Here is a 17,569-nt window from a genome sequence, read left to right on the forward strand (position 1 = left end):
CTGGTGGTCTCGCACGGCTGAGGCACAGCAGCCTGGGATGAGCTGGCAGGCTGCAGCCGCCTAGTGAAGAGCCTTGAATGCCTGTTGGTGCCTAATAAAGGTTGGTAACGGTGACATATGAATACAATTGACCCTCAAGGCTGGGCGCAGTGGCTCACTCCTGCCATCTGAGCACTTTGGGAGGCCAAGGTGGGTGGATCACCTGAGGTCAGGAGTTTGAGACCAGCCTGGCCAACATGGTGAAACACCAACTCTACTAAAAATACTAAAATTAGCTGGGCGTGGTGGTCTGTGCCTGTAATCCCAACTACTCGGGAGGGTAAGGCAGGAGAATCTCTTGAACCTGGGAGGCAGAGGTTGCAGTGAGCCGAGATTACACCACTGCACTCCAGCCTGGGCGACAGAGCAAAAACCTGGATCAAGAAAAAAAAAATACAGCTGACCCTCGAACAACACGGATTTGGACTTGGAGTTTCCACTTCTTTTTTTTTTTTTTTTTTTGAGATGGAGTCTCACTCTTGTCCCCCAGGCTGGAGTGCAATGGCGCGATCTCGGCTCACTGCAACCTCCACCTCTTGGGTTCAAGCGATTCTCATGCCTCAGCCTCCTGAGTAGCTGGGATAACAGGCGCGCGCCACCATGCCCAGCTAATTTTTATATTTTTAGTAGAGACGGGGTTTCACCATGTTGGCCAGGCTGGTCTCGAACTCCTGACCTCAGACGGTCCGCCTGCCTTGGCCTCCCAAAGTGCTGAGATTACAGGCATGAGCCACTATGCCCAGCCAGATTATCTTAATAACATTTTCTTTTCTCTACCTTACTTTATTATAAGACTATAGTATATAATACACGTAACACACAAAATATGTGTTAATCAACTGTTTTCACAGTCAACAGTAAGTTATTGGTAGTTAAGGCCGGGTGCAGCGTCGCATGCCTGTAATCCCAGCACTTTGGGAGGCTGAGGCGGGCGGATCACTTGAGGTCAGGAGTTTGAGACCAGTCTGGCCAACATGGTGAAACCCTGTCTCTACTAAAAATACAAAATTAGCCGGGTGTGGTGGCAGGCACCTGTAGTCCCAGCTACTCGGGAGGCTGAGGAAGGAGGATCTCTTGAACCCAGGAGGCAGAGGTTGCAGTGAGCCGAGATGGTGCCACTACACTCCACCCTGGGCGACGGAGCGAGACTCCGTCTCAAAAAAAAAAAAAGTTACTGAGTGTTAAAATTTTTTTTTTTTTTTTGAGACAGAGTCTCGCTCCATCGCCCAGGCTGGAGTGCAGTGGCGTGATCTCGGCTCACTGCAAGCTCCACCTCCTGGGTTCAGGCCATTCTCCTGCCTCAGCCTCCCAAGTAGCTGGGACTACAGGCACGCACCACCACACCCAACTAATTTTTTTGTATTTTTTTAGTATAGACAGGGTTTTACTGTGTTAGCCAGGATGGTCTCAATCTCCTGACCTCGTGATCCACCCACCTCGGCCTCTCAAAGTGCTGGGATTATAGGCATGAGCCACCGAGCCCGGCCAGTAGTTAAGTTTTAGGGGAGTCAAAAGTTACACCTGGATTTTTTACTGCATGGGGGGTTACTGCCTCGATCCCCACATTGTTCACAGGTCAGCTGTAAATGAATGTGCAATGTGGAGCCAGGGAAGCTGCTGAGGCGGGAGGTCCTGCCTCTGATTAAATGTATATGAGAAACGCTGGGAATAGTGGTTCCCAGGAAGCAAGAGGGAAGCACTGGGCATTGGGCTGGATCTTGTGTCTGTCACTCCAGATCCTCAAGCCGCCCTTTCACCCACTTCTCTGTGCCCCAGGATGCTGACTTCTGGGGACTATATCAACTAAACTCCCTTGCCACTTCCAGCTGGGTTCAGCCATTGGTGTCACCAGCAGAACAGAAGGTTGGGGTCAGTGCTGTGCTGGTAAATGTCTAACAAGCAGCTCCCTGGAGGAATGGCCCTGATCTCTAGTGTCTGCCTGTTTCCCTGATGTAAATATTCCTGCTGCGGGTGGAGATGGTGTCACAGATGGATGGGGGATGACATGGTGTCTTCATCATAGGCTCTGGTGTTGCCAAGCCAGTGTGTCCATAGGCCCTGGGCCATGGGGGAAGATGGCGTGGCGTGTCAATGTCCAGGTGTGTTCCCAGCTGCTGGCATGAGGATGAGCTGGGGCTTTCACACCAGCTGGTCCTCCTCTGTGCTTGGATCCCCATCTATCAAGTGGGGGTGACAGGCAGCTCCTTGCTGCCCCCTGTTGAGGGGTTTCTGTGCAGTAAGGCACACAGTCCTGCCTGGCCCAGTGCCTGGGGCCCGTGAGTCTTCAGTAACAGCGGCCATGGTGGTGACCATCGCCTGGGTCCCTGCTTATGCCCCGGGCTGGCTGACCAGGCTCAAGGATGGCCTGGGGTGGAGGTCTGCTGGAGAAGCCCACTGGGGAGGAGACAGCGGCCAGTAGGATGGGGAAGTTGGCGAGGCAGCTATCTTTAGTGCCTTCCCTCACAGCCGTTTTCCTCTGCCGGGCTAAGCAGGACTCTGGTGGGGACCGGGTGGGGAGGGGTCACTTCTCCATAGTCACATGAAGCCCAGTGACCTGAAGACCAGCTGTGCAGGCTCAGGGCCCAGCAAGGGTGGGGCTGGCTGTGGTACCGGGCTCCAGGAGACCTCATCCGTAAAGAAGCAGGGGCCCACTGTAGGAGCCTGGGAGAGGGTAGGGGGCCAAGGAGCATTGGGGGTCGCAGTGGCTGCTGGGAAACAGTGTCCCTCCAGTCCTCACCCAGAGCTTTCGCAGCCCTCCTGCACCAGGACAGCGTGGTGTGATGGTTGTGCGCTCGTGTCTGGAGCCTGGATTTTATATCCCCGCCTCGCCACTCCAAGAGTCTGACCTCGGAGACTGTGACTTAACCTTGCTGAGCCTCAATTTCCTCCCTGTGAAAACAGAAGTGATGCCGGGGCTCAGTGGCTCACACCTGTAATCCCAGCACTTTGGGAGGCCGAGGCAGGTGGATCACCTGAGGTCAGGAGTTCAAGACCAGCCTGGCCAACATGGTGAAACCCCATCTCTACTAAAAATACAAAAATCAGCCAGGCGTGGTGGCGTGCCTATAATCCCAGCTACTCAGGAGGCTGAGGCACAAGAATCGCTTGAACTCGGGAGGTGGAGGTTGCAGTGAGCTGAGATCGCGCCACTGCACTCCATCCTGGATAACAGAGTGAGACTCTGTCTCAAAAATAAGTAAATAAATAAATAAGGTAACTCTGGGCTGGGCGAGGTAGCTGAACGCTTTTAATCCCAGCACTTTCTGAGGCTGAGGGGGGAGGATTGTTTAAGCCTAGGAGTTCGAGACCAGCCTGGGCAACATGACAAGACCCACTCTCTACAAAAAATACAAATATTAGGCCGGGCGCGGTGGCTCATGCCTGTAATCCCAGCACTTTGGGAGGCCGAGACAGGTGGATCACGAGGTCAGGAGATCGAGACCATCCTGGCTAACACGATGAAACCCTGTCTCTACTAAAAAATAAAAAAAAATTAGCCGGGCGTGGTGGCGGGTGCCTATAGTCCCAGCTACTCGGGAGGCTGAGGTGGGAGGATTGCTCGAGCCTGGGAGGTCAAGGCTGCAGTGAGCCGTGATCGCACCACCGCACTCCAGCCCTAGGCGACACAGTGAGACCCTGTCTCAAAAAATAAAAATAAGGTAACTCTGAAAAGAGTTGAGTACAAACCTTGGCACACCGTAGGTGCTCAACAAATGAGCCCTCTCCTTCACCCTTGAGGCAGCATTCATTGGCTTTACCGACCCCTGGTAGCCTAGAGTGAGGGTGAAGAGATGCCTGGGCTCACGTCCCAACCCCACCAATCATACAGCATCCCTGGGCAAGTTATTCATCCACAAGCCCCAGTTTCTTACTGTAAAATGTGATCATAACAGAACCTGCCTCAAGGAGTGAGCCTGATGACTTTTTCTCTGTGTGAAATGCTCAGTGCCTAATACAGAGCAAGATGCTCACAATGATTGCCGCCTGCTGTCCCGCGCACTGCCTTGACCTGTGAGTGCTGCTGATTGTGGGTGAGCGGCTGGTGAGGTTGGGCTCTGGATGGTTCCTGGATGCTCCCTTCCTCCCTCACTCTCAGGCCCGTGGAGTTACCGCAGCGCCCCCATTATCTGTGGTTTCACTTTCCTTAGTTGCAGTTTCCAGCAGTCAGCCACAGCCTGAAAATATTAAAGAGAAAATTTCAGAAATAATTCATAATTTGACATTGCATGCCATTCTGAGCAGGGTGATGAAATCATGCAGCGATGATCGTGACTCATTCCTCTGTCCAGCGTCTCCGCGCTGCAGGCGTTCCCGCCCGTGAGTCACTTTGTAGCCCTCTTGGTGATCAGAGAGAAAAAGCCTAATCCACAGAGGGTTCCGTACTATCCGCGGTTTCAGGAATCCACGGGGGGTGTCGGAGGGTAGGGGCTACTGTAATTTCCTGCCTCCCGTGAGGTTTGCATCAGGCAGTCTCCTGTCGGTGGCCTGGCCCGGGCTCCTGAGACTGCTCCTGAAAGGGAAAGGGACTTTGGGCTCCTGGGAACTGCCCAGGAGGCAGGGCAGAGGGACCCCCAGAAGTTGCAGCAAGTAGCTGCATTATCAGCTACGAGGTTGAGAACCAAGGGGAGGAAGGTGAGCTGCCAGCTGCATGGGGCTACATCTGGGTGGGGGGACAGAGACAGAGCAGCACAGCCCCTGCCAGCAAGGCTGTCAACGAAGATCTAGGCAGAGAGCAATTTGGGGTGAGCCCACAAGGTGGCGGCCAGCCACTCACCCCTCTACACCCCGTGGCCATCCCCAGGTGAGCTGAGCGAAGTCCCTGGCTCCGTCACACCTTTTAAGGCAAAGGCAGCTCCCGCCACCACCTCCCTGTTCCCACTTGCTCAGAAATTCCCAGCAGGTATTTTTTCTTTTTTTCAGGAGGAATGGAATGGGACTTCTTGTTCTGTCACCGCAGGATTCCGGCGAGGCCTGTCTAGGGGTTCTGGTGAGAGAAAAGCGTGACAGGAAGCGCATGCCAGCAGGCACTTGGAGATGTACCCTTGGTGACATGCACAGGCACGGCAGCCGCCCCACCCACCACAGGCCTCCGCTCGGGACAGCGGGGCACACGCACAATACAGACGAGGCCCAGAGATGCAGAGACCCCCAACAAACCTTCTCCATGCTAGGGAGACAGGAGATCCAGCTGGGAATGAGCCCATATCATGAAGCCCCTCCCTCAGGAGCTCATACCGGAGCCCAGGAGCCTTGTCCCACCCCAGGGCCTTCGCACTCACCATTCCCTGGCGGGAGTGAGTGTTCCAGCACAGGGCTCCACAGGCAGGACCCTTGATACCTTTCAAATCTCAGAGAGGCCTCCCCGACCCCACCCACATGACTCCATCCCAGTGACCTGTTTTATTTCCTCACAGCCGTCTTCACTTCTAAACTGCCTTTTTTCTTGACAGGATCTTGCTCTGTCACCCAGCCTGGAGTGCAGTGGTGCAATCATGCATGGCTCACTGCAGCCTTGACCTCCCAGGCTCAAGCGGATCCTCCCACCTCAGCCTCCCAAGTAGCTGGGACTATAGGCACGCGCCACCATACCCAGCTAACTTTTAAATCTTTTGTAGAGACAGGTCTCACTAGGTTGTCTCAAACTCCTGGGCTCAAGCCATCCTCCCGTATCAGTCTCCCAAAGTGCTGAGATTACAGACGTGAGCCACCACACACGGCAGGCAAGGAAGGGCTGAGGGGCTGTCAACAGCAAAGGCTCAGCCCCCAGTCAAGCCAGGCTGCCCGTGAGAAAGGCTTTCTGTGCACTTGGGCACATGTGGATAGGTACGGGTGTGATGCCAGCCTCCACTTGCAGCCTGCAGGTGTGTCTGTGGTACTGGGTGCCTATGTGTGTGTCCTGAGCCTGGGGGAAGACAGACAGACTACCCCTAGGGGCCTTTGTTCTTTGCGTCCTGTCATCCTGGCCATACCCAGAACTCGGTACAGAGCCCTGGACAAGCAGCCAGGCTCGGCCAGGACATCTCAGACCAGCAAACCCTTTCCTTTCTGGGCTGGTAGGCAGCGGGGCTCCAGGCCCAGCCTAAGGGATGGGGAAGGGAGGGGACAGGCTGGGACCCCTGCCCAGTCAGCATCCCCACCAGGACGAGATCTAACCATGGAGACTGACAAGAGGCAGCACCCAGGAGACCAGGCAACCAGGTCTCACACCTGGCCCTGCCACTAAGGTGCCTGGTGGCCTTGGGACAATAGGTCATGACCCATTCCAGCTGTGCACTTGACTCCCATGACTGCGGGGCATCCGAAGACCCTGATGCAGAAAGGAACCCTGCCCAATCCAAAACCCCTAGCAGGGCCCTCTTGCAGGGCACGTGCCGCACTCACCCCCTGGTGGCTCCAACCTGAAGTGCAGCTCCAGTCACCTAGGCCCAGGCTGCAGAGCCAAAGATGGGAGGGGCTGCAGGAAGGAGGGTTCTGCCTTGAGACCAACTGCCCCAAGCCAAGCTCAGAAGGAGCTGGAGACTTGCAGGGTGGACAGACACACGTGGGGAAGGTTCCCGCTGCACACAACTCAACTCTGACCTGCCCCTGCCTCAGGACCTACATGGCACTTATCCGCTCTGCACCTGGATGACTTTTTTTTTTTGAGACGGAGTCTCGCTCTGTCATCCAGGCTGGAGTGCAGTGGCGCCATCTCGGCTCACTGCAAGCTCCGCCTCCTGGATTCACGCCATTCTCCTGCCTCAGCCTCCCAAGTAGCTGGGACTACAGGCGCCTGCCACCACGCCAGGCTAATTTTTTTGTATTTTCAGTAGAGACGGTGTTTCACCGTGGTCTCAATCTCCTGACCTCGTGATCCGCCCACCTCAGCCTCCCAAAGTGCTGGATTACAGGCGTGAGCCACCGCGCCCGACCGACTTCAAGATATTTTAGTGCTTCACCCTGCACCCTCAGGTCCACAGGGAGACAGTGACAACTTGGGCATCTCCACAACTGTTCTCCCGCAGTCCCACACACGCCCCGAGCCCACAGGTGCACCCTGCACGCTGATCCTCAGATCCCAGCTATTGCCAATCCATCCGAATAAACAGAGACTCAGACACACAGTTAGGGTCCCGGTGACTAGCAGGCCTGCCAGACACTGCTGGGTGGACAGTCAGCTGGCGCAGCTGGGGACTCTATCCACAAGTAACTCAGCGAGGGATGGAGTACAGCACAGCGCCTGCTCACAGCCACAGCACCTTGAGTCTGAGGGAGCAGCTTCGACAGCATCAGGGGACCTGCATTCCACACCCCGTCCTGGTAGAGCCTAGGTGCAGCTTGAGCAAAGACGGGGAGTCAGCAAGTGGGTCCAAGCACCAGGGTCTGTGCTGGGCTTCACCGAGATCACCGGGCTCCAGGCCAGGTCACAGGGGTCAGTCCAGAGCCTGGGGGCTTCCTTCAGCTTACAGCAGCAGCTGCACCCCAGCATCCTGGGCTCCAGGGACTGAGGGCAGCAGGCACTCAACGTGCAAGTCAAGAAAGCACATAAGTCCCATGCCCGAGGGGGCTGGGGTACAGGGGCCATCTCCAGTGGGAACAGGGACTGCACCAGCCAAGTCCCAGAAGGTAGACCCCAGCCCAGAGGGGACACAGCCCTCTGCCACATGTTCCAACTAGGCTTCCAGCTGCCGAGCCGGGGAAGTCCCTTAACCTCTGTGCCTGTGTTCATGTTCTCCCAGTACCAGACTTGGGGTGCAGATTACAAAAGAACCTGAACAAGCCTTAACTGGAAGCCACCCTTCCCTGGATTAATTTAAAACCAAATGAACTTTTTAAACAAGTAACAAACCCACGGTCTGCCTGCACACCAGCATCAAACGCGCCAGGGAACATCCAGGCCTCCCTGTCTCCTTCTCGTCTCCACAGCACTGGCATCACCCAAGCTGTGCAAACAGCAGAGACCCAGCTGCCTCACCCTGGTGACAAACATTTGCACAATGCCCACTGCTCCAGGCTGGATTTCTACAGCTCAGCTGCAGAACCAGGCCCAGCTTTTACCTCCCTCCAGGGACTGAGGGTGGGGGACAGAGTGGGAGGCCAGAAGGCAAACCCAGCGAAGCTACAGAAAGGAGGGCAGTGGCCTTGGGGAGCACAAGGCACCTCAAGGGCCCCCATCTGCCTCCCCAGTCCCAGCCTCTCTCCTGAAGAAAGAGGCAAGATGTCAGTGGAAAATAACTTTTATTGAGACCCCACCAACTGCAAAATCTGTTCCTGGCATTAAGCTCCTTCTTCCTTTGCAATTCGGTCTTTCTTCAGTGGTCCCTGTGGGGAGAGAGGCAGTGGTCAGAGGTAGAAGATGACAGGTGACAGCAGATGCCCACTCTAGAGGAGACCAAGACTCTGGGCCAGTCTCCACAGCCACAAGAGAGGCCTAAGGCATCAAGACCACCCCTACCCCGGCTGGAGCCAAAGGCAGGCGGCTGCCCAAGCCACCACACCCAGCGAGGGGGGCAGGCAGAGGTGCTCACCATGAATGCTTTCTTCTCCTCCATGGTCTGGAAGCGGCCATGGCCAAACTTGGAGGTGGTGTCAATGAACTTAAGGTCAATCTTCTCCAGAGCCCGCCGCTTCGTCTGCACCAGCAAGGACTATGGGCCAAGAGGGGAAGGGATTTAGGATTACGAGGAGCCAGGCTTTCCTCAGCACTGTTCACAGCGCCCCTGCATCTGGGAAGCCACACGATCAATTCAGCCTCCCCCACCATCCGGCAGATGAGGACACACTCAAAGCAGCAAACAGCCCAGCAAGGCCAGACTGGGAATTTCCTCATCTCAGGACTTCAAAGCCAGTGTGAAAGGACTGCCAACACCCTCTCCTTCCTTTCCTCTCCCACCACAGGGCCACCAGCGTCTGTGGCCTTGGATCCTCCCTCTACAAGAGCCCCCCCATGACAAGTCAGGACCTGCCTCACCTTGCGGAGGGTGAGCACCCGCTTCTTGGTTCCCACCACACAGCCTTTCAGCATGACAAAGTCATTGGTCACTTCACCATAGTGGACAAAGCCACCCTGGAAAACGAGCATCGGATCAGCACAGGCCCAGGAGGGGATTGTCGTGCAGATGACCCCTCCAGGTTCAGGCCCTCCCTGACCACAGGGCTGTTCTCAGAAGGAAGGCAACAAGGAACGGTTCCGCAGTCTGTCTCGGGCGCTGTGCCCAGCGCACATTCCAGGCCTCATCACTGAACAGCTGAGCCTGAGACCCCACTTCTCACCAGCCAACCCCGACGAGTGGACTCAGATGACAACATGCCACTTACAAGGGACACAGCTAGGTGTTGTGTTGGCTTCAGTTAACGATCCTGCTAGCAGCCCCTAGGAAGCAGCCTATCCCCAAAAGCACGAGGCCTGGGATGGCCTCACAGAGCAGAACACCCATTACTTACCAGAGGGTTGATGCTCTTGTCAGATAGGTCATAGTCAGTGGAGGCATTGTTCTTGATCAGCTTGCCGTCCTTGATAAGGTAGCCCTGGCCAATCTTATAAATCTGAATGAACAAGAAGGGTGTAAGGCTGGGGCATTAGGGACAAATAACCCAGACATGCCAGTGTGCTGACCTGCAAAGCACGCTAGAAGGCAGCTGAGGCCTCAGTCCCAGTCACAGCGTATCCCAAGGTCAGAGCAAAAAGCTGGCTGGCCCTCCAGGTTCCTTTCTGTAAGGCGGCTGGGCTAAAACTAAAGATCCTGCTGTACAACACAGGCCTGTCACCCCCCTGGTGGTGGCATCAGGGACCAATAAGACTAGTATCCCCAGCCACACCAGTCAGCCCCACCACAGCCACTCTACAGGATGGCACCTTACAAATCATCAAGATGGGCCAGAACTGACCATGAGAAGCAAGCCACTGATGTCCACGTGATGCATAAGCTACAGTCAGTGAAGCAGCACTGACAGGCACAGAAACCCCACTCCCCATCACGGGGGCCTCTTCCCACCCCCAGGGAGCCACTCTCAGAACCTCACCTTCTTGTTGATCTCAGTGCGGTGATGGTAGCCTTTCTGCCCAGCGCGTGCCACAGAGAAGGCTACACGAGCAGGATGCCATGCCCCAATACAGGCCACCTTGCGCAGGCCTCGGTGGGTCTTGCGGGGCAGCTTCTTGGTGTGCCAACGACTGGTGACCCCTGGAATGGATACACATTACTTCACCTCAGCGCCCAGCACCTCCCACTGACCCCTTCCTGCTACTCAGCAATTACCAACCATGGCTGGGTCATCTGAGGGAGTGATAAGATTATTTCATGTGCATTACCCACAGGTCTCCCCTGTCAAGCTGGATAGGCTCTGGGGGTGTCACCCTGAACTCAATTCTGAATGGGTGCTTTTTAAGGCATCCATTAGTTTAAGCTCCCCCATTCACAGGGACTGACTAACATAATTCCAAGCTCCCCTTTGCAGTTATCAGTAGGCTACAAAGAGCAAAGGGTCCAGGAACGTGTTAAGAAGTTGTCCCCTGGCCCTCCGCTATCCCAGCCACTTCTGACCACAAGGCTGTTCTCAGAAGGAAGGCAGTAGAGAATGGTTCTACACTGTCCGATTCGGGCGCTGTACCCAGCGCTCACTCTGAGCCTCATCAACGAACAGCTGGGCCTGAAACCACTTCTCCCCCAGGTTTGCACAGCAACTCAAGCCACCGCAAAGCTCACCTTTGTAGCCTTTGCCCTTGGTCACCCCGATGACGTCGATCATCTCATCCTGCCCAAACACTTGGTTCACAGGTACCTGCTGCTCAAGCCTCTCGCGGGCCCAGTCCAGCTTCTCGGCCACAGTGCCTCCGTTCACCTGGATCTCCATCAGGTGGGCCTTCTTCTGGCGCAGAGGAAGCAGGCGCATCTAGGAGAAGGTAGACACAGCTCAGCTCCAGCTGCCAGCGCTCCTCCCACAGCAGAGGAACTGCAGCTCCATGCGGCCTGATTGATGTCAAGCACACGGCAAAAAGCCAGTAACTCTGAACAAGTCACTGAACCTCACCAAGAGGAAGGAACTTTCATTTTTGCCAACAGCAACAACTTAACTTTGGATACTGGTGCCTGAGTTACTGTCAGGATGAGCGGACAAGACCCACACCACAGGCAAACAACCAGATCCCAGCCCCTACCAGCCCAATGTTCCTGTGGCTGTCCTTTGGGTCAGTTCCTTTTGGGGTACTGCAGTGGTTTTACCTCAGCCACCTACACTTGCCCTAGTGACAAGCCTGCTTTTGAGAGAGCACAAGCTCTAAGTAAGAAAATGCATCACCGGGAGCGGTGGCTCACACCTGTAATCCCAGCACTTTGGGAGGCCGAGGCAGGTGGATCACCTGAGGTCAGGAGTTCAAAACCAGCCTGACCAACATGGAGAAACCCCGTCTCTACTAAAAATACAAAATTAGTAGGGCGTGGTGGCGCATGCCTGTAATCCCAGCTACTCAGGAGGCTGAGGCAGGAGAATAGCTTGAACCTAGAAAGTGGAGGTTGCAGTGAGCTGAGATAGGGCTATTGCACTCTAGCCTGGGCAACAAGAACGAAATTCTGTCTCTAAAAAAAAAAAAATGCATTTAAGCATAAAGCTTTCACTCAAGGACAGCCTGGCAATGTCCTGACAAAATTTCAACGGTGGACATGCACTCTCATCCGTGGTGGCCCTCACCACATGGGGTTGCACTCAGCACTTGAGATCAGCCAGGATAACCAGTAACAGGACAGCAAGAGGCACCCACTCTAACCAAGTCAATAAAAAGCCTGCTCAGCTCATCAACTAGGTTTCCAGGAGAGCAGCCAGTACCTCACAACCGACTTTCAGGCAGGCATTTCAGTGTTACTGGTGAGTCACCAGTTGAATTTTAAAGGGGAATGGTTCCCTTGCTAAGGGCCAGTAAGGACACAGTGCCCTCTGCTGGCAAGGGAGAAGCCTACCCATAAGCGTGCGGGCACGGGACCCCCATGATCACATAGGTCACTTCTACTAAGTGGCAGGCCAAGCCACCCCGGGGCACTGGGCTCACCTGGGTGTGGGCAATGACACGGATGACTTGGCAGTACTTCTTCATGCTGCTGAAGTCCTTCTCCAGCTGCTTCTTGCCATCCTCATCCTGCCATTTCTTGCAGTACTTGGTAAAGGCCTTCTTCTTAGATTTATGCCTTCAGGAGCAGAGCAGAGTTGGGGAGGGGACCAGGTGCAGGCCTTCATCACCCCTCCGAGGGGTGAGCGGAAGGCACACTGGCACCGCGTGGGGATGGAGCTCATTGCCGGCTTCTAAGGAGCCTTTTCCACCAGCAAGCGGAGCCTGGATGGAGCTCATCGGGCAGAGCCGAGCGGAGCTGAGCAGAGGTCCACAAGGTTAATTTAAGTTACACGCATTCAAACAAAATTCTTGCTCCGGGACAAACCTTTCTGCCCTGGGGAAGCCCACTCAGTGATGAAGGAAATGGGACATTCCACCCAGGGCCAGAGGCCCTTGCCACCCCTATAGGGGTTTAATTATTCTGCTACCTCTCCTGGTTTCTAGTTGGACTCCTCAACCAACTGGGTCCTCAGCCACCACCCACTAGCCTGGACTCAGAATGAGGGTGTTAGCTTCCGGCTGAAACCAGATGGCTGGCCAAGTCTGATCCCAGGTATTTTTCTGTTCGAGAGGCAAACTAAACCCAAGACAGCAGCTCCCTGCCTGCTACAGAGCTGAGAAACCATGCACACGCTGCTCCCTGCTCTCCAGCTCCCAAGCTCCCAAGCTAGGGACTGCATGGCCTCCTCCCTTACCAATTCTTATAGAAACGCCTCTTGCATTCATCACTGATGTGCTCAGCAAAGACAGTCTTGAAGGTCCGGAGGCCTCGAGGGGTTTCCACGTAGCCCACAATGCCCACAACCACCATGGGTGGTGTCTCTACAATGGTCACAGCCTCCACCACCTCCTTCTTGTTCACCTCTGCAAAAAAAAAGCAGTAGTCAGACTTGGCAGGAGCCCAAGCAAGGGGTGTAATGTTTTCTAGGAAAATGCAAAGTGCCCATTTAGGCCGGAAGGGCAACTGGGCCCCACACCTGCAGTACGGACTCACAGGGCTGTCCTTACTGCCTATCTCTCATTCAAAGCACATTTATGTTATTCAAACAAAAAATATCAGGACCCTAGACAGCCAAATACCTGTCCAGCTTCAATTCTCTTCTACAGAAACCTCTGGAGGCAGACAAGATTGCTATTTATCTGGAAAATTCAGTGCCCTAACAATAGCTCTGAGCTCAGAGATTAGTCAGTATCAACTGCCTAACATTAATGTCTCCATGGCTCAGCAACCAGTGCTGTTAGACATCTCTAAGTAGAACACACACAGGTAAGTGGCCATTATTCAAGCTTTCAGGTGAAAAAAACATGAATGAGGCAGTTCTTATGCCAGCCTCAGCAGCTCCAACCCCCCACACTAGTGTTAACTTCTCTTTGCTAAGGTTCCTGGCAAATTTACTATGCTCTGAAATCAATACCCCACACCGCACCTAAAGCAAACAGTGCTGACCATCTGTAGCCTTGGAATATTAGTTTTCAAGTTAAGCATTCCCATTCTGCTGTCGCAGCAGTTCTGACAACGTGTAACTCCTGCTTAAAAAAAAAAGTCTGCCCTCTGCTAACAGCTTGACTCCATCTCTACAATTTCCCTCCCCCTCCACTCCTATTCCCCCAACTTTTAGGATGTCTGTACATACTGGATCCCGGCCTGTCGACTTCCCGCACGATGTGAGTCATGCCAGCCTTGTATCCCAGGAAGGCTGTGAGGTGGACCGGCTTGGACGGGTCATCCTTAGGGAAGCTCTTCACCTTCCCACGATGCCTGCTGCTGCGCTTCCGAGGCAGGAAGCCGAGGGACCCATGTCTGGGAGCGGAGAACTTTCTGTGAGACTAGGTGGGAAAAAAATCACCGTCAGCACCCAAACCAAAGCAGTGCCCCCTTCTCTAGTTCCCAGCTGCTTAAGTTCCAAATCTCAGCAATACTGAAGAATCCTGACCAGACACCCAGCAAGCCGAATAAAAAGGTCATTATCTCTTCCAGGCTCGCACGTGTCAAGAATGCTTTTGTATTCGACAAAATTTAAGCTGAATCTTATTTCAAATCCTCTCAACCTGTAAGAAAACGACCCATTTTTTTTATCTAACCACACAAAAATACACTAAGTAGTGGCACTAAAAACTGCTTAACAGGCAGCTTTATATGCCAATTAGCAAGGTTTTGACCGCTAAAGAAAGGGACTCCCGGGACAAACGCTGGGTAGCAGCTAGCAATGTTAAGCTATAGGCTGCCTCCGGTGCCCGGACACTAATTACACTGATACACACAGGCCAAAGAACTCCGCAGAGCCAAATCAGAACGTGACAATCAGCACACAGTTTCTGTCCGCCCGTCAATAAGTTCATCATCTGTGGTTTCTGCGAGCTCCAGAGGCCTTCGGAGTGCACCAGCGGCCCCAGATATTCAGGAGGACTCCACAACACTCCCCTCCCCCAAGCTTCTTTACCTCCCAATGAGAACGGCGCCGAGAACCTCCACCCAAGGTCCTTCTACCCAGACAAGCAGGTTATGGGCCCTAATCCCAACTAATGATAGAATTGGTGAGGTCGAAACTTAGAAATGACTCATGGCTTTAAAAACGCCGGGCCTCCAAGCCTGCTCCCACCCTTACGGCCTCTCTCTGGCCGACCTGCAGGCCCAAAGCCAGTCCTCCAAGCGCTCTTCACAAGCCTCTCGACTTTCCAGAAAATAGGCCAGACTGAAGTCCCCGCTGGGTCGCCCGTGCCCCTAAAGCAAACCCCCGGCGCCGGCCAAGACGGGATGGCGGCGATGCGTCGCGGATTCAGCCGTGCCGACGCCGGTGACAATGAAACGGCCGCCATTACAACACATACCATCACGCCATCAAATCCCGCCGGTAGAGGCCGGTCGGCCTTACGGGTCCGCTATATAAAGCCAAATCTGGCCCCGCCCCTTCCGGCGTGCGAGCGCGCCCCCGCGGCAGACGACAGGTCGGGGGCACGTACCGAGCGCCATTTCCACGCACGCTCTTCCGCTCCTAGCTTTCGTTCAGAAGTTGACGTCAGCTTCGGAGACAGAAATTACACACTCTACGGCGAGGGGTCGGGTTCAAACTTAGTGAAAAGCCGCGGAGAGGTGGGCTAAGGGTGGGTGAGCCACAAATCTACGGCGTCCGGCAGCAGCCAAATTTGATAATAACGAAGAAAAATGGCTGCGTCGCTTCTCCTCCTGTGATATGCAGCTATCTCTGGAATTAGCGAAGAAAGACTGAAACTCTCGTTTCCTGGCTCCCACGCTGGTTTTGCGGCGACACCAATTTACCTTTAATACCTTTAATCTCGGGCATCCCTCCCTCAAGCCCTATCTCTGCCATTTCTCCCATGCTAATGCAGTGGCCCGCGCTTGATTCTGAGGGTCAGGAGCGTCCCAAGCCTGCGGAACGGCCTCACGACCTCTGGTCATGCCGAGTCCAGCTGCTCAGCCTCCCGGAGCCCCACGCCTTCCAGACCTATGCATCAGCGAGGGCTTTCGCTGATCTCTGCCTAGGCTCCAGGGTGACTCGGATCCTGACCGATTCCCTGCTTCCAGGCTGGTCCCTTACAAATCTCTTTTTTGAGACGGAGTCTCGCTCTGTCGCAGTGGCGCGATCTCAGCTCACTGCAAGCTCCGCCTACCGGTTCCCAGTTCAAGCAGTTCTCCTGCCTCAGCCTCCCGAGTAGCTGGGATTACAGGAATGCGCCACCATGCCTGGCTAATTTTTTTTTTTTTTTTTTTTGTATTTTTAGTGGAGACGGTGTTTCACCATGTTGGCCAGGCTGGTCTTGAACTCCTGATCTCGTGATCCGCCCGCCTCGGCCTCCCAAAGTGCTGGGATTACAGGTGTGAGCCACCGCGCCTGGCCCCCTACAAATCTTTCTAAGAATCAAGTATCTCGTTACTTTCCATGGCCGCCTCGTTGTTTCCTCGGAATTAAGCATCAACTTCAGCGGCCACCAAAGACGCTCCCCTAACCGTCTACTTCAGCCTCATGGCTGCGCCAGAGCACACGCTCTCATATCACCTGCTTCCTCTGTCCCACCCTGTCATCTTCTTTAATTCTGGGCCTGGCCTTTGCTCCCACCGTCGTTTGAAAAGCATTCTCTCGGCCAGGCGCGGTGGCTCACGCCTGTAATCCCAACACTTTGGGAGACCGAGGCGGGCGGATCACCTGAGGTCAGGAGTTCGAAACCAGCCTGGGCAACATGGCGAAACCCCGTCTCTATTAAAAATACAAAAATTAGCGGGGCACGATGGTGTGCGTCTGTAATCCCAGCTACTTGGGAGGCTGAGGCGGGAGAATCGTTTGAACCCGGGAGACGGAGTTTGCAGTGAGCTGAGATTGCGCCAGTGCAATCCAGCTCAAAAAAAAAAAAATTATCTCAATCCTCACACCATTCCCGAAGGACATAAGTGATAGATCTTCAATCCATTATTAGAAATCCTGGGGGCCACATATGTTTCAAAATTGAGCATTTTTTGATTTTTAGAAAGGTAATATGGTGCACATACTGTATATTATGTAATACAGCACTTTTTAAAGAAAAACAATATTCCGTAAGGAAACATGAATATTCACATGGAGTGGGACAAATATAAATAGACTCACATCAGTTCAAGGCTGACTTTGCTGCTCAAAAAATGCATCAGTTTACTTTTTGCTGCCAAATAATTTAAGAAGGTTTTTAAAATTTCAGGATACAGGCCAGGCACGGTGGCTCACACCTGTAATCCCATCACTTATGGGAGGCTGAGGAGGGTGGATCACTGGAGGTCAGGAACTTGAGACCAGCCTGGCCAACACAGTGAAACCCCGTTTCTCCTAAAAATACAAAAATTAGCAGTTGTTGTGCACGCCTGTAGTCCCAGCTACCCCGGAGGCCGAGGGAGGAGAATTGCTTGAATCCGGGAGGCAGAGGTTGCAGTGAGCCGAGATCGTGCCATTGTGCTCCAGCCTGGGTGACCAATCAGGATTCTGTCTCAAAAAAAAAAAAAAAAAAAAAACAAGACCAGGCGTGGTGGCTCATGCCTGTAATCCCAGCACTTTGGGAGGCCAAGGTGGGTGGTTCACCTGAGATCAGGAGTTCGAGACCAGCCTGGCCAACATGGTGAAACCCCGTCTCTACTAAAAATACAAAAATTAGCCAGGGGTGGTGGTGGGCGCCTGTAATCGCAGCTACTTGGGAGGCTGAGGCAAGAGAATTGCTTGAACCTGGGAGATGGAGGTTGCAGTAAGCCAAGATTGCACCATTGCACTCCAGCCTGGGTGAGAAAAGCAAAACTCCATCTCAAAAAAAAAAAAAAAAAAAAATTTCAGGATGCAGACAAAGGATTATAACCTACCCATATTGCCCCCCGCCCTTTTTTTTTTCCGATACGGAGTCTGGCTCTATCGCCCAGGCTGGAGTGCAGTGGCGCACAGTGGCACTATCTCGGCTCACTGCAAGCTCTGCCTC

At 54.0% G+C, this 17,569-nt stretch overlaps 1 protein-coding gene and 4 non-coding genes across 6 annotated transcripts, besides 14 other annotated features; all 5 read right to left on the bottom strand.

The window, feature by feature from the left end:
• Positions 3,930 to 5,129: an enhancer, noted in NCBI's record as "BRD4-independent group 4 enhancer chr22:39704579-39705778 (GRCh37/hg19 assembly coordinates)". NCBI's record gives its function as "activates an origin of replication core promoter dependent on BRD2, P300/CBP, MED14 and CDK7 cofactors, and independent of BRD4, by STARR-seq in HCT116 cells {active_cell/tissue: HCT116}" and the evidence as "EXISTENCE:reporter gene assay evidence [ECO:0000049][PMID:35650434]".
• Positions 5,449 to 5,658: a silencer, noted in NCBI's record as "silent region_13749". NCBI's record gives its function as "represses an Ori minimal core promoter by ATAC-STARR-seq in GM12878 lymphoblastoid cells {active_cell/tissue: GM12878}" and the evidence as "EXISTENCE:reporter gene assay evidence [ECO:0000049][PMID:35858748]".
• Positions 6,048 to 6,588: an enhancer, noted in NCBI's record as "H3K27ac-H3K4me1 hESC enhancer chr22:39706697-39707237 (GRCh37/hg19 assembly coordinates)". NCBI's record gives its function as "activates a minimal SCP1, AML or CMV promoter by ChIP-STARR-seq in primed H9 embryonic stem cells {active_cell/tissue: H9 hESC(primed)}" and the evidence as "EXISTENCE:reporter gene assay evidence [ECO:0000049][PMID:30033119]".
• Positions 6,048 to 6,854: a biological region, named in NCBI's record as "H3K27ac-H3K4me1 hESC enhancer GRCh37_chr22:39706697-39707237".
• Positions 6,393 to 6,854: a silencer, noted in NCBI's record as "fragment chr22:39707042-39707503 (GRCh37/hg19 assembly coordinates)". NCBI's record gives its function as "represses an EF-1alpha promoter that drives an FKBP-Casp9 reporter gene in an ReSE screen in phorbol 12-myristate 13-acetate-treated (for megakaryocytic differentiation) K562 erythroleukemia cells {active_cell/tissue: K562(+PMA)}" and the evidence as "EXISTENCE:reporter gene assay evidence [ECO:0000049][PMID:32094911]".
• On the bottom strand, positions 8,238 to 14,979 carry RPL3 (ribosomal protein L3). Of its 2 annotated transcripts, none has more exons than NM_001033853.2 (10): positions 14,951 to 14,979; positions 13,756 to 13,948; positions 12,817 to 12,985; positions 12,179 to 12,197; positions 10,725 to 10,881; positions 10,042 to 10,202; positions 9,463 to 9,564; positions 8,990 to 9,085; positions 8,547 to 8,666; positions 8,238 to 8,340 (listed from the first exon to the last, which is right to left on the bottom strand). In NM_001033853.2, the coding sequence occupies exons 1-10, from the start codon at positions 14,951 to 14,953 to the stop codon at positions 8,296 to 8,298; spliced, it is 1,065 nt and encodes a 354-aa protein (NP_001029025.1). In that variant the 5' UTR covers positions 14,954 to 14,979; the 3' UTR covers positions 8,238 to 8,295. The 2 variants fall into 2 exon arrangements, with proteins under 2 accessions (NP_001029025.1, NP_000958.1); NM_000967.4 differs by having other exon boundaries at positions 10,725 to 10,911; positions 12,062 to 12,197.
• On the bottom strand, positions 9,175 to 9,267 carry SNORD83B (small nucleolar RNA, C/D box 83B). The gene has a single exon (NR_000028.1). It is a non-coding gene; the product is annotated as a small nucleolar RNA, C/D box 83B (small nucleolar RNA).
• On the bottom strand, positions 10,569 to 10,663 carry SNORD83A (small nucleolar RNA, C/D box 83A). The gene has a single exon (NR_000027.1). It is a non-coding gene; the product is annotated as a small nucleolar RNA, C/D box 83A (small nucleolar RNA).
• Positions 11,745 to 11,794: an enhancer, noted in NCBI's record as "active region_19040". NCBI's record gives its function as "activates an Ori minimal core promoter by ATAC-STARR-seq in GM12878 lymphoblastoid cells {active_cell/tissue: GM12878}" and the evidence as "EXISTENCE:reporter gene assay evidence [ECO:0000049][PMID:35858748]".
• Positions 12,189 to 13,077: an enhancer, noted in NCBI's record as "H3K27ac-H3K4me1 hESC enhancer chr22:39712838-39713726 (GRCh37/hg19 assembly coordinates)". NCBI's record gives its function as "activates a minimal SCP1, AML or CMV promoter by ChIP-STARR-seq in primed H9 embryonic stem cells {active_cell/tissue: H9 hESC(primed)}" and the evidence as "EXISTENCE:reporter gene assay evidence [ECO:0000049][PMID:30033119]".
• On the bottom strand, positions 12,198 to 12,252 carry SNORD139 (small nucleolar RNA, C/D box 139). Its single transcript, NR_000026.1, has one exon. It is a non-coding gene; the product is annotated as a small nucleolar RNA, C/D box 139 (small nucleolar RNA).
• Positions 12,705 to 12,784: an enhancer, noted in NCBI's record as "active region_19041". NCBI's record gives its function as "activates an Ori minimal core promoter by ATAC-STARR-seq in GM12878 lymphoblastoid cells {active_cell/tissue: GM12878}" and the evidence as "EXISTENCE:reporter gene assay evidence [ECO:0000049][PMID:35858748]".
• Positions 12,895 to 12,984: an enhancer, noted in NCBI's record as "active region_19042". NCBI's record gives its function as "activates an Ori minimal core promoter by ATAC-STARR-seq in GM12878 lymphoblastoid cells {active_cell/tissue: GM12878}" and the evidence as "EXISTENCE:reporter gene assay evidence [ECO:0000049][PMID:35858748]".
• Positions 13,968 to 14,857: an enhancer, noted in NCBI's record as "NANOG-H3K27ac-H3K4me1 hESC enhancer chr22:39714617-39715506 (GRCh37/hg19 assembly coordinates)". NCBI's record gives its function as "activates a minimal SCP1, AML or CMV promoter by ChIP-STARR-seq in primed H9 embryonic stem cells {active_cell/tissue: H9 hESC(primed)}" and the evidence as "EXISTENCE:reporter gene assay evidence [ECO:0000049][PMID:30033119]".
• Positions 14,408 to 14,469, bottom strand: SNORD43 (small nucleolar RNA, C/D box 43). The gene has a single exon (NR_002439.1). It is a non-coding gene; the product is annotated as a small nucleolar RNA, C/D box 43 (small nucleolar RNA).
• Positions 14,724 to 14,773: an enhancer, noted in NCBI's record as "active region_19043". NCBI's record gives its function as "activates an Ori minimal core promoter by ATAC-STARR-seq in GM12878 lymphoblastoid cells {active_cell/tissue: GM12878}" and the evidence as "EXISTENCE:reporter gene assay evidence [ECO:0000049][PMID:35858748]".
• Positions 14,858 to 15,747: an enhancer, noted in NCBI's record as "NANOG-H3K27ac-H3K4me1 hESC enhancer chr22:39715507-39716396 (GRCh37/hg19 assembly coordinates)". NCBI's record gives its function as "activates a minimal SCP1, AML or CMV promoter by ChIP-STARR-seq in naive and primed H9 embryonic stem cells {active_cell/tissue: H9 hESC(naive and primed)}" and the evidence as "EXISTENCE:reporter gene assay evidence [ECO:0000049][PMID:30033119]".
• Positions 15,164 to 15,583: an enhancer, noted in NCBI's record as "active region_19044". NCBI's record gives its function as "activates an Ori minimal core promoter by ATAC-STARR-seq in GM12878 lymphoblastoid cells {active_cell/tissue: GM12878}" and the evidence as "EXISTENCE:reporter gene assay evidence [ECO:0000049][PMID:35858748]".
• Positions 15,748 to 16,636: an enhancer, noted in NCBI's record as "NANOG-H3K27ac-H3K4me1 hESC enhancer chr22:39716397-39717285 (GRCh37/hg19 assembly coordinates)". NCBI's record gives its function as "activates a minimal SCP1, AML or CMV promoter by ChIP-STARR-seq in naive and primed H9 embryonic stem cells {active_cell/tissue: H9 hESC(naive and primed)}" and the evidence as "EXISTENCE:reporter gene assay evidence [ECO:0000049][PMID:30033119]".

Source organism: Homo sapiens, chromosome 22 (assembly GCF_000001405.40).
Source record: "Homo sapiens chromosome 22, GRCh38.p14 Primary Assembly".
NCBI classification, from domain to species: Eukaryota; Metazoa; Chordata; class Mammalia; order Primates; family Hominidae; genus Homo; species Homo sapiens.

What these genes read in the sequence shown, in the direction of transcription:
- RPL3 (NM_000967.4), bottom strand. An exon ending in GTGTCATTGCCCACACCCAG is followed by an intron (nt 10,912 to 12,061) that starts GTGAGCCCAGTG and finishes ACCTTCTCCTAG; the next exon opens with ATGCGCCTGCTTCCTCTGCG. An exon ending in GGGTGCTCACCCTCCGCAAG is followed by an intron (nt 8,667 to 8,989) that starts GTGAGGCAGGTC and finishes CTTGGCCCATAG; the next exon opens with TCCTTGCTGGTGCAGACGAA.